A 13537-nucleotide genomic window follows, 5' to 3' on the forward strand; every position below is an offset into this window, starting at 1 on the left:
CAGTTCTAAGTCTTGAGAGACAGCTCAGGCCAAATCTAGAAGCAGTAATTTAAATATGTACAAAAGGCATTATGATCTTCTGTACTTTCTGAGCATGACTAAGTTTTAGCCAAAAAAAAAAAAAAAAAAAAAATGGAACCAGGCTGGGAGCATTAACTCACGCCTGTAAGAGACTGCAGTGAACCATGATCATGCCACTGCGCTCCATGCTGGGCAACAGAGCCAGATTTGGCCTCAAAAAAAAAAAAAAAAAAAAAAAGGAACCAAGCCTCACATCTAACTGTATGGTGCTTAAACATGGAATAATGATGAATTCCTGCTACTGCTAAGCAAATTTCTTGAATATAATTCTTGAACATCATAGTTCTTGAGAGAATGTTACTTCATGGACAAAATAGGCTATTATTTATAAAAGATCAGAATTAACTTGTTAAAATTAAGTTAGCTATCATGGAATTTTCCCCTTTACATCAAACATCAAAATGTTCTTCTTTCCTTTTTTTTTTTTTTCTTTTTGCCCAAGGTGTCACTCTGTCATCCAGGCTGGAGTCCAGTGGCACGATCATGGTTCACTACAGTCTCTACCTCCCGGGCTCAACTGATCGTCCTACCTCAGCCTTGTCAGTAGCTGGAACTATAGGTGCATGCCACCATGCCCTGCTAATTTTTGTAGACTAGGTCTCACCATGTTGCCCAGGCTGGTCTCGAACTCCTGGGCTCAAGCAATCCACCGGCTTTACGCCTTCCAAAGTGCTGGGATTACAGGCATGAGCCACTGTGACCAGCCTAAAATTATTTTTTTAAGGTAAACTTACCATCAGCTTTTCACACAAGTGTTTCAAGTTTAACAAAAGATACAACTCTACTTTAAATACAACTCACAGAGTGTTCCATTACAATAATTATCAGCTAAAAAAAAAAGCTGAGGCACAAAAAAGCAGTACCTTTTATAATGACTCTAAGATTCTAGAGCTGAACTTGAAACTCAAAGTTGCTAATCACTTGCAAAAAATTAAATTGTACCTGGTGACTGAGCTTAATAATGGTTACTCAGAAAAGCTGTGGCATCAACAACTGGAGACTAGCCAAGTGCACCTGCAAACTCAGGTGGTCAGAAGAGGCAGAGATCACCTTTGATAAATAGGGACAACCTACAAGCTGATTCTGAATATTTTTTGCACTTGGGAGCTGAGCCAGGGCGACAAGATTAGTGAATCCAGGCCCCAGAATGTGGCATGACGGCCACTGTGTACTCTCTCAGGGGTCTGTAATTGCTGTTCTCCCTCCATAACACACTCTCCATTGGGGTGGGGATGGGGGGAAGGGCTCAGTCAATGCTCAGATGATTCTAATTTCATTCATTAACTCAGCCTAAATCTGCAGAGTGTCTACTATGCTAAGTGACATTTCTTGTGAGATGATTCAGTTATGCATCTTCCTGAAAAGAAAGAGGAAAAAAAGAATGCAGAGAAAAATAATAATTTAAGGGACTGCTTTTCTATGCAAGAAGTACTAAGTATTTCTGAAACAAACATGTAGATATATTTGTACTTCATTTGGAATGGATCAAGTGAAAAAAAAGAAATCTTTTACTGGTACCTGTATCCTAATTCTTCACTAAGATGGATCATATGAAGGATATATGACTCCTTGCTTGTTCCCGTGAGGCCAGGCAACAATAAGATAGTAGGTCTGGTGCTGGCATCCATATAACACGTACTGTTATCATTATCAAACCAGTCCAGTGAAATCTGTCCTCCATCTGCAGTTTTAATAAGTTCACTGAAAGGAATAATTCAGAAGACATTACTATTTACATGTTTTAAGTCATGTCTTAATTTTAATTCTAAACACATGACATTATTTGCTCATCAAAAAATAACATTTTTCCAGCATTCACGAACACACACCCATATCTCGATCTACATATCATTTTCTTTCATTAGAAGGATTTTATGAAGATTAGTACCATCAAGTATTTCCAGCAACCTCCGTACAAGGTCGTATATAAAAATGAACTGCTAATTATTAAGATAAATGAATACTTACTCATTACTCCAAAACATCCAGCATTTAACCCTTGTTTGATTGAGGTCACTCAACTAATGCGACAGGGAAGTCTGAGTAAGTAAAATGCTGATCTAATCTCTGACCACTGCTCTAGCTCTTTGGACTCAATAATGCAGTCTCCTTGTATAGTATACTTCAAGATTTTCTTCTGAAATAATTTAAATTATTTCTCACATAGTATTCATGAACTTACAGAATTTTCCCAAACAAACAGTGCAAGTTCCAGGCAACAAAATAAACTCCAGAAGGATAGATGACTAAGGGAAATTAATAACAGGCACCATTTAAATCTGGTTCCTGATAAATCCTGGACCGTATCTTTAACACATCAAGAGCTATTATCATCAAGATCCCATTTGCCTGTCAATAGGAAGTCATTTTACACCAATAAATCGCCCAAAACCCAAATTAAGTGGCATCCTTCTCACCCCACCCCCCCCCCCAGTATCTGCTACTTATCAATGAATGAATGCAGATCATCAAAAGATCTGGGTCTTTCTGACAGATGTATGACAAACTGCGAGACAGTAATCCCCAAACACTTCTCTCATCCTAAAAATAAACCATTTACATCAGGTTGGCGGTTAGGGCGGGGACCAGGAGGCAAATACCTGCAGCTGGGGTATTTTCCTGCAGCTGGGGGTGGAGCCGGGGACGTACCTTCCATTTTCATTCCCTCTTTCTGTTCTATATACTTCCTAAAGCAGATTCTATTAACCAAGAACTGGGAATAAGCAAGCAAGCAAACAAACAACCTGTGATTTTGCAGAAATGACTGAAAACGGAAATTCACTTACTTCCTGTACTGCACCGGGGGCTTCGAAGTGATGAAAGGTCTAAGCAGGGTCTGTCCTCGACCCTCCCAGCACCAGACCGTCGGGTAGTACGTTTCTGTAACCACGGGACAGTGGTCTTGAAGGAAGCGGCTGAAACTCTCACCCCCGGTCACTAACTGGGGTTTCTGAAGGGAAAAGCAGTATCAGAGAAGGGCCCAGAGCAAAGTTTCTGCCAACCGTAAACCAGAAACCGGCAAAGACTTGTCGCTCGCGCGCGCGCTTCCTCCGATTACAACTCTTTCTGGAGGGCTGACGCAAAAAATTCACAGTCACAGAGGACTGAAACGGGGGTTTCGCCAATGCCCCGAGGGGAAGGCGAGAATCGCGATAAGGGAGTTTGTTTGTTTTTAACTCCGCCTCCCGGGTTCAGGGGATTCTCCTGCCTCAGCCTCCCGAGTAGCTGGGATTGCAGGCGTCCGCCACCACGCCCGGCTAATTTTTTGTAATTGTAACGGGGTTTCACCATTTTGGTCAGGCTGGTCTCGAACTCTTGACCTCAGGTGATCCACCCGCCTCGGGCTCCCAAAGTGCTGAGATTACAGGCGTGAGCCACCGTGCCCTGCCCGGAGTCATTTTCAAAAGCGCCACGGCGTTCCCGAGTGCGCCGCCGGCTTCGCGATCGGTGACCGGGCAGCGCCGCAGCGCAGAAGTCAGCCGGGTTCAGGCTGCGCTCCGAGGACCACCCGGCCGGGACCCCCAGGGGGCGGGCGAACGGGCGGGGCCTGTTGGCTTTCCCGCGCGCGCTGGGGGCTGCCGCTCGGGAGCAGCTCGCCGCCTATCCCCGGGGCTGCCGACCGCCCCTGGCCGCGCAGCCTCGCGCCGCGCCTGCTACCCTAGCTCCTGGCCCAGCAGCCCGCGGCCCTGCGCCACCCCCGGCTCACCTTGGCAATGCTGCTCAGGTAGTAGAAGGCATAAGCGACGCTGAAGCCCAGGATAAGGGATAAGCCCACCCCCGAGCCGAAGAACCCCACCCGGACTTGGTGTTCCAGGTAGAGGGAGAGCTCCCGGGACAACATCCGCAGGTCCATGGCCAGGCGCTGCATGGCCCCCGAGCGCGGCGCGCGGGTCCTGCGGCGGGAGGAGAGCCGGCTGGCGAGCGGGCGAGAGCGGGCGAGAGCGGACGCGGCGCCGCTGCCTACTCCCGACCACAGTGTCTCCTGCCTGGCGGAGCGCGGCTTCCGACAACGGGCGGGGCGGAGCGGCCCAGGGAGGCGTAGCCCGAGACTCCAACGCCGCCCGCTCCGCCCCGGCTTCCTGGAGCCGCCCCCACTGCCAGCCACTCAGGAACCTTCCAGAAGCGCGGTTCCAAGACCGGCCACCGGGAGGGCGGGCGGACTGGGTTCTCCCAGCTAGGTCGCAGTGGGCGATGGGGATCCCCAAGGGTGGGCCGAGAGCTGACGGATCGGCAGCGCTGGTTAAGGCCCCGCACCTGCAGCCCCAGTGACCTTGAACGATTCCGCTCTGCGGCGGGTGTCCCTAAACTAGCAGTTTAGGGTGTCAGGTAAGCGTGCCTTGCATTCAAAGATTTGGGGAGTTAATGCCAAAGATATGTTAGCAGGTAAGAATCCCACATCCTCTAGACGTTTGCGTTGGTCCTCAAGACTATGGAAAGAGAAAAAATATTCTATGAGCATTCAACAGTGAGGACATCATACTCGACTCTGAATCACTCTGTGAATCTTTTTAGTTGCTAAGTGTCACTTAAATGAGAAGTGGTCTCTGAAAATAAATGAAAAGGTCAAGAATAGCAACCGGGATTCAATTGTTAAAAGCCTATTTGTGGTTCATTAATGCTTTGAATTTAGAGACTTATGGAAATTCACACCGATTACCTAATGTACAGACAAGAAACCATTTATGAAGTAGGGTCTCCTAGGCTTATTTATGGCAATATGATAAATCAGGATACTTATGGTTATCTGAAATGGTTAGAATTTAATAGCCTATTCCTACTCTTATGAACTCCTTCCTCAGAGAGGTAGGAAGAATGGCAAGACTTAAACAGACGAAAGAAGGGAAAGTGCTGTCTAGATTATGAAAAATGCCAAAGGATTGTAAATTAATGATGTAATTTAGATGGGGACATGAGACGGACCAGAAGTGAGCAATTTATTTGGCTCCGATTTGGTCATTGCAACTTGGTGGTTGGCTGCAGCACCCAAAATAATTCAATTACCTTTACTGAGCCTGTTTTTTTCTTGTTTTAATAATCTGTAGCGTAACAATTTCTACTTTATAGAGTTCCCGAGAGGACAAGATAGTGTATATACTGGACTCCCCGTGAGCAGAAGTAATTTTCACGCTCTGGCTCTCACACCTGAGCACACATAGCAAACGTGAATGCATATGCTGGTTGCCATACTTGAAACTTCATAGCATTCTTCATAACCCCTGCACCAGCCTTCTGCACTACCTACCAATAAATGCATGCGTATTTCAGTTTAAGTTTGTTCTGTTTTGTTTTGTTTTGTTTTTTGAGACAGAGTTTTGCTCTTGTTGCCCAGGCTGGAGTGCAATGGCGAGATCTCGGGTCACTGCAACCTCCACCTCCCGGGTTCACGTGATTCTCCTGCCTCAGCCTCCCGAGTACCTGGGATTACAGGCATGCACAACCACACCCAGCTAATCTTGTATTTTCAGTAGAGACAGGGTTTCACCATGTTGACCAGGCTGGTCTGGAACTCCTGATCCACTCGCCTCGGCCTCCCAAAGTGCTGGTGAGAGGTGACAACGTGCTAGCAGCCCTCGCTCGCTCTCAGCACCTCCTCAGGCCAGGGCATCCACTCTGGCCGCGTTTGAGGAGCCCTTCAGCCCGCTGCTGCACTGTGGGAGCCCCTCTCTGGGCTGGCTGAGGCCGGAGCCAGCTCCCTCTGCTTGCAGGGAGGTGTGGAGAGAGAGGCGTGGGCGGGAACCGGGGCTGCTGTGCCCCGCGATCACGGGCCAGCGGGAGTTCCGGGTGGGTGTGGGCTCGGCGGGCCCTGCACTCTGAGCGCCGGCTGGCACCGCCGGCCCTGGCCAGTGAGGGGCTTAGCACCCAGACCAGCAGCTGTGGAGGGTGCCCCGGGTCCACCAGCAGTGCCAGCCCGCCAGCGCTGCACTGGAATTCTTGCTGGGCCTCAGCTGCCTCCCCACGGGGCAGGGCTCAGGACCTGCAGCCCGCCATGCCTGAGCCGCACCCCCCGCCCCACTGTGGGCTCCTGCGGGGCAAGCCTCCCCCACGAGCGCTGCCCCCTGCTCTGCCAAGCCGGGTTCCATCCACCGCCCAAGGGCTGAGGAGTGTGGGGCTGACGGGGCAGTACTGGTGGGCAGCTGCGGCTCCCCTGTGGGATCCACTAGGTGAAGCCAGCTGGGCTCCTGAGTCTAGTGGGGACTTGGAGAACCTTTATGTCTAGCTAAGGGATTGTAAATACACCAATCAGCACTCAGTGTCTAGCTCAAGGTTTGTAAATGCACCAATCAGCACTCTGTATCTAGCTAATCTGGTGGGGACTTGGAGAATCTTTATGTCTAGCTAAGGGATTGTAAATACACCAGTCAGCACTCTGTGTCTAGCTCAAGGTTTGTAAACACACTAATCAGCACCCTGTGTCTAGCTCAAGGTTTGTAAATGCACCAATCAGTGCTCTGTGGGGACTTGGAGAAATTTTGTGTCTAGCTCAGCGATTGTAAATGTACCAATCACCACCCTGTCAAAACGGACCAGTCAGCTCTCTGTAAAACAGACCAGGCAGCTCTCTGTAAAATGGGCCAATCAGCAGGATGTGGGTGGGGCCGATAAGGGAATAAAAGCAGGCTGCCCGAGCCAGCAGAGGCAACCTACTGGGGTCGCCTTCCACGTTGTGGAAGCTTTGTCCTTTTGCTCTTTGCAGTAAATCTTGCTGCTGCTCATTCTTTGGGTCCACGCTGTCTTTATGAGCTATAACACTCACTGCGAAGGTTTGCAGCTTCCCTCCTGAGCCAGGGAGACCACGAACCCACCAGAAGGAAGAAACTCCAAACACATCCGAAGATCAGAAGGAACCAACTCTGGACGCCCCTCTTTTAAGAACTGTAACACTCACTGCGATGGTCCGCGGCTTCATTCTTGAAGTCAGTGAGACCAAGAACCCACTAATTCTGGACACACGGGGATTACAGGCATGAGCCACTGTGCCTGGCCCAGTTTAAGTTTAAAGTGAAAGTATTATCGAATAAAATGTTTGTCTGAGCTTGGGCATTATAACAAAATACCATAGCCTAGGTGACTTAAACATACATGTATTTCTCACTGTTCTAGAGGCTGGAAGTTTGAGATCAGGGTACCGATGTGGTTGGGTTTTGGTGAGGGCCCTCTTTTGCCTTGCAGATGGCTTCTCAGGAAGCTCTGATGTCTCTTCCTCCTCTTTTAGAGGCACCAATTCCATCATAGGGACCCTGTCCTCATTATCTCGCCTAAACCTAACTACATCCCAAAAGCCGTGCCTCCTAATACCATCACCTTGAGGGGCTAGGGCTCCAACATGTGAAGGTGGAGGCGGGGGATACAAACATTGATGCCTATAATATTTTATGGCCATCATGGTGTGTAGAAAATGTACTGACCTAGGAGTAAAAAACAGCTCTGAACTTATCCACCAAACTTAGGCAAATCATTTACTCTTTGGGGGCCTCAGTTCCTTGTCTGTAAAATGAGATGATTGAGATGGAGGTTGTCCAAGTTTATTTCCTGTTAGAAAAACATTCTCCATCTTTCTTTAGAACTACTATTTTGGCTGGGCATAGTGGCTCACGCCTGTAATCCCAGCACTTTGGGAGGCCGATGCAGTTGAGTCACTTGAGGTCAGGAGTTCGAGACCAGCTTGACCAACATCGTGAAACCGCATCTCTCCTAAAAATACAAGAAAATTAGCTGGGCATGGTGGTGGGTGCTTGTAATCCCAGCTACTCAGGAGGCCGAGACAGGAGAATTGCTTGAACCCGGGAAGGCGGAGATTCCAGTGAGCCAAGAGCATGCCACTGCACTCCAGCCTGGGCGACAGAGGGAAACTGCCTGAAAAAACCCAAAAAACCAAGTAACTGTTATTCCCAATTTATACATGAGGAAATGAGAGCTCAGAAAGTTTAATTCATTCATTCAATCAGTGTCTTCTTGGGTGATTACAGGGCACTGAGGATCCAATCATAATAATACTTAGAGTCTAGTGTGGCAACAGAGGAGTAAGCAGTTACATTACAAAAAGTGTGGTGTCTGGGGATGGTTCCAGATGCAGCAGGTACACAGGGTTCTTAGTAGCAAACAGCAAAAGTCAATTTGGGCTTACCATATGCAGAAAGGAAATTTATTACAATGGTATGTGATAGCTGATGAAACTCCAGAAGGGCCAGAGAACAAGGCTTAGAAGTTGGGAACAATGCCTTTAAAAGTCGTGGCGAGGCCGGGCGCGGTGGCTCACGCCTGTAATCCCAGCACTTTGGGAGGCCGAGGCGGGCGGATCACGAGGTCAGGAGATCGAGACAATCCTGGCTAACACGGTGAAACCCCGTCTCTGCTAAAAATACAAAAAAAATTAGCTGGGTGCAGTGGCGGGTGCCTGTGGTCTCAGCTACTCAGGAGGCTGAGGCAGGAGAATGGCCTGAACCCAGGAGGTGGAGCTTGCAGTGAGCCCAGATAACGCCACTGCACTACGGCCTGGGCGAAAGAGCGAGACTGTCTCAAAAAAAAAAAAAAAAAAAAAGTCGTGGTGCTGGTCCTGTGATGACAATACTCCTGCTCTCTCTCGGCTACACTGCATGGTTTTTGGCATCCAGACCAGCTATGCTGGGCACAAGGCTGTGTTCTAAATCCCTGACACTGTTGCCTCTGGAAACAGGGTGTTACCACTTCTGCCCCCTCACTACAATGGATTATCCCTGCTTCTTAATTTCACTGTATCCTTATTTATTCAAAGTCTGTTGTGAATGGAACTGACTGGTGCAGTCTAGGTTGTATCTCACCTTCCTCCCAGCTGTGGAGGTAGGAAAACAAATATCTGGCATTTTCAGTGTCTGTGGGGGGACATGCATGCTGCTTCATTTGTTGAAAAGTCCCCAAACACAGATGAAGGTTCAGATGCTGGGCAGTCAAAAAGAATGCAAATGTTTACCTCAAGCATGTAATGGAGCAACTTAGCCACATCCAACAGCCTAGGGAAGATCAGAAAAGACTTCCTGACAGAGATGTGAGCAAAGACCTAGATAAGAAGAGATGAAGGTGAAGAGTTTGTATAGGACGATTGAACTGCATGTGCAAGGGTCTGAAGATAGAAGCAAATATCAAGTGAAATAAGTTTCCATAGCAAATGAGTGGGGTTTGAACCAAAGACTGGGTGGTTCCAAAACCTGTTTTGGGAATTACAATGCTACATTAAAAATATTACCTTTGTGATGAAGAAACAAAGAAAATGAAATCATTGCTTCAAAATTTTTTAAGACACTTGCTTAGAATATGCTTATGTTTTTAATTTTTGTAAACTAATGAAATTCTCTTTTTTTTTTTTTGAGATGGAATCTCTCTCTGTCGCCCAGGCTGGAGTGCAGTGGTGTGGTCTTTGCACACTGCAACCTCCGCCTTAGCCTCCCGAGTTAACTGGGATTACAGGCATGCACCATCACGCCCAGCTAATTTTTGTATTTTTTGTAGAGACGGTTTCACCATATTGGCCAGGCTGGTCTAGAAATCCGGACCTCAAGTGATCCGCCCGCCTGAGCCTTCCAGAGTTCTGGGATTACAGGCGTGAGCCACTGCACCTGGCCTTGAAATACTTTATTGGATAAATACAATACTAAACAAAATTCATTCAAATACTTTCCCCAAAAAATCAATTTTTGCCCAGGTGCAGTAGCTCACACCTCTGATTCCAGCACTTTGGGAGGCCAAGTTGGGAGGATTGCTTTAGTCCAGGAGTTTGAGACCAGCCTGGGCAATATACTGAGACCTTATTTCTACAAAAAATTTAAAAATTAGCCAGGTGTGGTAGTGCATGCCTGTAGTCCCAGCTACTTGGGAGGCTAAGGTGGGAGGATCGTTTGAGCCCAGGAGTTCAAGACTGCAGTGAGGGATATTCACACCACTACACTCCAGCCTGGGTGACAGAGTGAGACCTTGTCTCAAATATATAAGGCCTTTCTATTCAGGCCAATGACAAACACAAAAAAGATAGATATGCTAGTTTAACATAATTGACTGATTTTTTTTTTTTTTTTTTTTTTGAGATGGAGTCTCTGTCGCCAGGCTGGAGTGCAGTGGCACGATCTTGGCTCACTGCGACCTCTGGCTACCTGGTTCGAGCAATTCTCCTGCATCAGCCTCCCAAGTAGCTGGGATTACAGGCATGTGCCACCATACCCAGATAATTTTTGTATTTTTAGTAGAGACAGGGTTTCACCATGTTGGCCAGGCTGGTCTTGAACTCCTGACCTCAGGTGATCCACCTGCCTCGGCCTCCCAAAGTGCTGGGATTACAGGCGTGAGCCACTGAACTTGGCCTAATTGGCTGATTTTATACAGCACTTATATCTTTTAGTCCACAAGTATATTATTAAATGATAGAGAATACCTAATACTACCATTTCTACAGAACTAGGAAATAAATTTCTAAGAAAGAAAGATTTTCCAGACCCCACATTTTATTTATTTATTTATTTTTATTTTTATTTTTTGAAATGGAGTCTCACTCTGTCACAAAAGCTGGAGTGCAGTAGTGCAATCTTGGCTCACTGCAACCTTTGTCTCCTGGGTTCAAGCAATTCTCCTGTCTCAGTCTCCTGAGTAGTTGGGATTACAGGTGCCTGCCACTACGCCCGGCTAATCTTTTTGTATTTTTAGTAGAGATGAGTTTCACCATATTGGCCAGGCTGGTCTTGAACTCCTGACCTCAAATCATGCGCCCACCTCGACCTCCCAAAGTGCTGGGATTATAGACATGAGCCACTGCGCCCAGCCAGACCCTATCTTTTATATCCACCCCAGCAATCTAACTCTAAAGAGGATAAAGCCGATGACTTTCCTCACAAGAGCTCACGACTTGTGTCACTTTGGTATCATAATCTTTCTTTCTTTCTTTTTATTTTTTTGACAAGGTTTTGCTCTGTCACTCAGGCTGGCATGCCATGGTGTGATTATGGCTTACTGCAGCCTCGACCTCCCAGGCTCAAGTCATCCTCCTGCCTCAGCCTCCCAAGTAGCTGGGACCACAGGCCCATGCCACCATGTCTGGCTAAGTTTTTTCTTTTTTATAGAGACGGGGTCTTTCTGTGTTGCCCAGGCTGGTCTCGAACTCCTGGGCTCAAGCAGTCCTCCTGCCTTGCCCTCCCAAAGTGCTGGGATTACACGTGTGAGCCACTGCGCCTGGCCTCACCCTAGTCTTTATAATCCAATGCTGTTACGTTTATTCTTCTGTGTACTCTGCTAGCATTATCACAAAAACCAAGATATGGTCCTAGTTTCTGCGATTTTAGCACAGTGCTTATACAGGAAGTTGTTTATTTTTAAAAATCCTGATCAAGTCTGTACCTGAAACAACAGACCTAAAGCAGCACAGTTGTCCTTTATAGGTTGGTATAAAATGCTCATGAAGCTCTTTGTCATTTTTTTTCTAATTCTATTTGTATTTCAAAGGAGAAATCAGAATTGCACAGAGAATGTGTGGTAGGCAGACCCTAAGGAGACCCCCAGTGATCTCTGCCTCCTGGTGCCCTTCTCCTGGAGTGTGTATAGGACCTGTGATTCATTTCCAACCAATACGATAGAGATAGCAAAGGTAATGGGATGTCAACACTCCTGTGATTATACTATGTTATATAAGACTCCTTAGCAGACTGGAGCTAGACTGTCCTTTCAGCCTTGAGGAAGCAGCCATGTGAACTGCCCCAGAGAAAGCCACATAGCAGCGAACTGTAGGCAGCCTCTGGGATCTATGGGTGGCCTCCATCAGACAACTGCAAAAAACACTGGTGACCTGAGTCCTGCAACTGCAAGGAAATGAATTCTGCCAACAACCTGAATGAGTATGGAAGGAGATTCTTTCCCAGTCAAATCTCCAGATGAAAATACAGCATGGTCAACGTTTTAACTTCAGCCTTGTGAGCCCCTGATCAGAGGACCCAGTTAAGTTGTACCTGGACCTATGACCCATGGGAACTGCTAGATAAGAAATGTGTTGTTTGAAGCTGCTAAGTTGGTGGTAATTTGTTGTGCAGCAATAGAAACCTAATAGAGAATATAAAAGGGTCCTACAAAATCATTTAAAGATTAATAAATATTAATGGCTCTTTTTTTTGCCCACCAATGTATCTATTATAGGAATATTTTATATTTATTATTATTATTTTTTGAGATAGGGTCTTGCTCTGTCACCCAGACTGGGGTGCAATGGTCTGAACACCTCTTACTGCAGCCTTGAATCAGTCTTGGGGTCAAGCAATCCTCCCCACTCAGCCTCCTGAGTAGCTGGGACTACAGGTGTGCATTACCATGCCCAGCTTATTTTTTTATTTTTGTTTTTGTTTTCATAGAGACAGGGTCTCACTATGTTGCCCTGACTGGTCTTGAACTCCTGGCCTTAAACAATCCCCCCATCTCAGACTCCCAAAGTGCTGGGATTACAACCCTGAGCCACCAAGCCCATCTGGAATAAATTAAATTTCCAGATGGAAAATAAATTATTTAATTAATAAATTAAAGAACTCTGGGCCAGGCGCGGTGGCTCACGCCTATAATCCCAGCACTTTGGGAGGCCGAGACAGGTGGATCATGAGGTCAGGCATTCAAGACCAGCCTCGCCAAGATGCCAAAACCCCGTCTCTACTAAAAATACAAAAAAAATTAGCCGGGCATGGTGGCACGCGCCTGTAATCCCAGCTACTCGGGAGGATGAGGCAGGAGAATTGCTTGAACCCAGGTGGCAGAGGTTGCAGTGAGCTGAGATTGCACCACTGCACTCCAGCCCGGGCGACAGAGCAAGATTCTGTCTCAAAAAAAAAAAAAAAAAAAAAAAAAGCTTAATTAAGACAAGTTCTCATTATGTTGAACTCCTGAGCTCAAGTAATCCTGCCACCTTGGCCTCCCAAAATGCTAGGAGTACAGGCATGAGTTACCATGCCTGCACCCCTCTCCTTTTTTTTTTTTTTTGTATTTTTAGTAGAGGTGGGGGTTTCACCATGTTGGCCAGGCTGGTCTTGAACTCCTGACCTCAAGTGATCCACCCTCCTCGGCCTCCCAAAGTGCTGGGATGACAGGTGTGAGCCAGCACACCTGGCCCCATTTTCCATTTTTTAAATTACACAGGAAATTCATTAAGTCACATTCCTTACAGGATGAAATTTGGAGAAAATTTTTAATAGGAGCACAAACAGCTATAATGCAGGCTTGTTTGCAGCTGTGGCCTTGCCCAGTGTAACAAGATGTTAAGTAGTGCTTTCCCTCCTTCTCTGGAATTGGTGAATGCAGTTCATATCCATGCACAGAGGAGTCAAGTACCAAAAGCTGTGGATCTACACAGATCTCCAGGGTTTAGTAAGAAATGTCTGAGCTGGCCAAATCGCCCAAAGCCATCACTCTAGGTGCCTCCTCCTCCTCCCTGCCTACGTAACAGACCAGAGAGGAAGAGATTAGC

At 47.0% G+C, this 13537-nt stretch overlaps 2 protein-coding genes and 1 non-coding gene across 8 annotated transcripts in view, besides 4 other annotated features; 1 reads left to right on the forward strand and 2 right to left on the reverse strand.

Annotated features, from left to right (window-relative positions):
• ABHD3 (abhydrolase domain containing 3, phospholipase) overlaps nucleotides 1-4058 on the reverse strand; it is a 53874-nt gene extending 49816 nt beyond the window's left edge. For all 6 annotated transcript variants that reach the window (NM_001308256.2, NM_138340.5, XM_047437312.1 and 3 more), the window contains exons 1-3: nucleotides 3788-4058; nucleotides 2868-3031; nucleotides 1600-1782 (exon numbers count right to left, since the gene is read on the reverse strand). In NM_001308256.2, coding sequence (NP_001295185.1) covers nucleotides 1600-1782; nucleotides 2868-3031; nucleotides 3788-3949 — 509 coding nt within the window. In that variant the 5' untranslated portion in view covers nucleotides 3950-4058. The remainder of the gene's footprint in view (nucleotides 1-1599; nucleotides 1783-2867; nucleotides 3032-3787) is intronic.
• Nucleotides 2786-2935: an enhancer, noted in NCBI's record as "active region_13137". NCBI's record gives its function as "activates an Ori minimal core promoter by ATAC-STARR-seq in GM12878 lymphoblastoid cells {active_cell/tissue: GM12878}" and the evidence as "EXISTENCE:reporter gene assay evidence [ECO:0000049][PMID:35858748]".
• Nucleotides 3456-4225: a silencer, noted in NCBI's record as "silent region_9342". NCBI's record gives its function as "represses an Ori minimal core promoter by ATAC-STARR-seq in GM12878 lymphoblastoid cells {active_cell/tissue: GM12878}" and the evidence as "EXISTENCE:reporter gene assay evidence [ECO:0000049][PMID:35858748]".
• MIB1 (MIB E3 ubiquitin protein ligase 1) overlaps nucleotides 4200-13537 on the forward strand; it is a 166038-nt gene continuing 156700 nt past the window's right edge. The window contains exon 1 of the mRNA XM_047437676.1: nucleotides 4200-4407. The gene's annotated coding sequence lies outside the window, so the exon portion shown is untranslated. The remainder of the gene's footprint in view (nucleotides 4408-13537) is intronic.
• Nucleotides 4396-4465: an enhancer, noted in NCBI's record as "active region_13138". NCBI's record gives its function as "activates an Ori minimal core promoter by ATAC-STARR-seq in GM12878 lymphoblastoid cells {active_cell/tissue: GM12878}" and the evidence as "EXISTENCE:reporter gene assay evidence [ECO:0000049][PMID:35858748]".
• Nucleotides 6539-6739: a silencer, noted in NCBI's record as "peak3067 fragment used in MPRA reporter construct". NCBI's record gives its function as "represses an SCP1 promoter by STARR-seq MPRAs in K562 erythroleukemia cells {active_cell/tissue: K562}" and the evidence as "EXISTENCE:reporter gene assay evidence [ECO:0000049][PMID:32103011]".
• Nucleotides 11234-11403, reverse strand: LOC124900411 (small nucleolar RNA SNORA81). The gene has a single exon (XR_007066494.1). It is a non-coding gene; the product is annotated as a small nucleolar RNA SNORA81 (small nucleolar RNA).

The sequence above is a fragment of the Homo sapiens genome, chromosome 18 (genome assembly GCF_000001405.40).
Source record: "Homo sapiens chromosome 18, GRCh38.p14 Primary Assembly".
Lineage (NCBI taxonomy): Eukaryota > Metazoa > Chordata > Mammalia > Primates > Hominidae > Homo > Homo sapiens.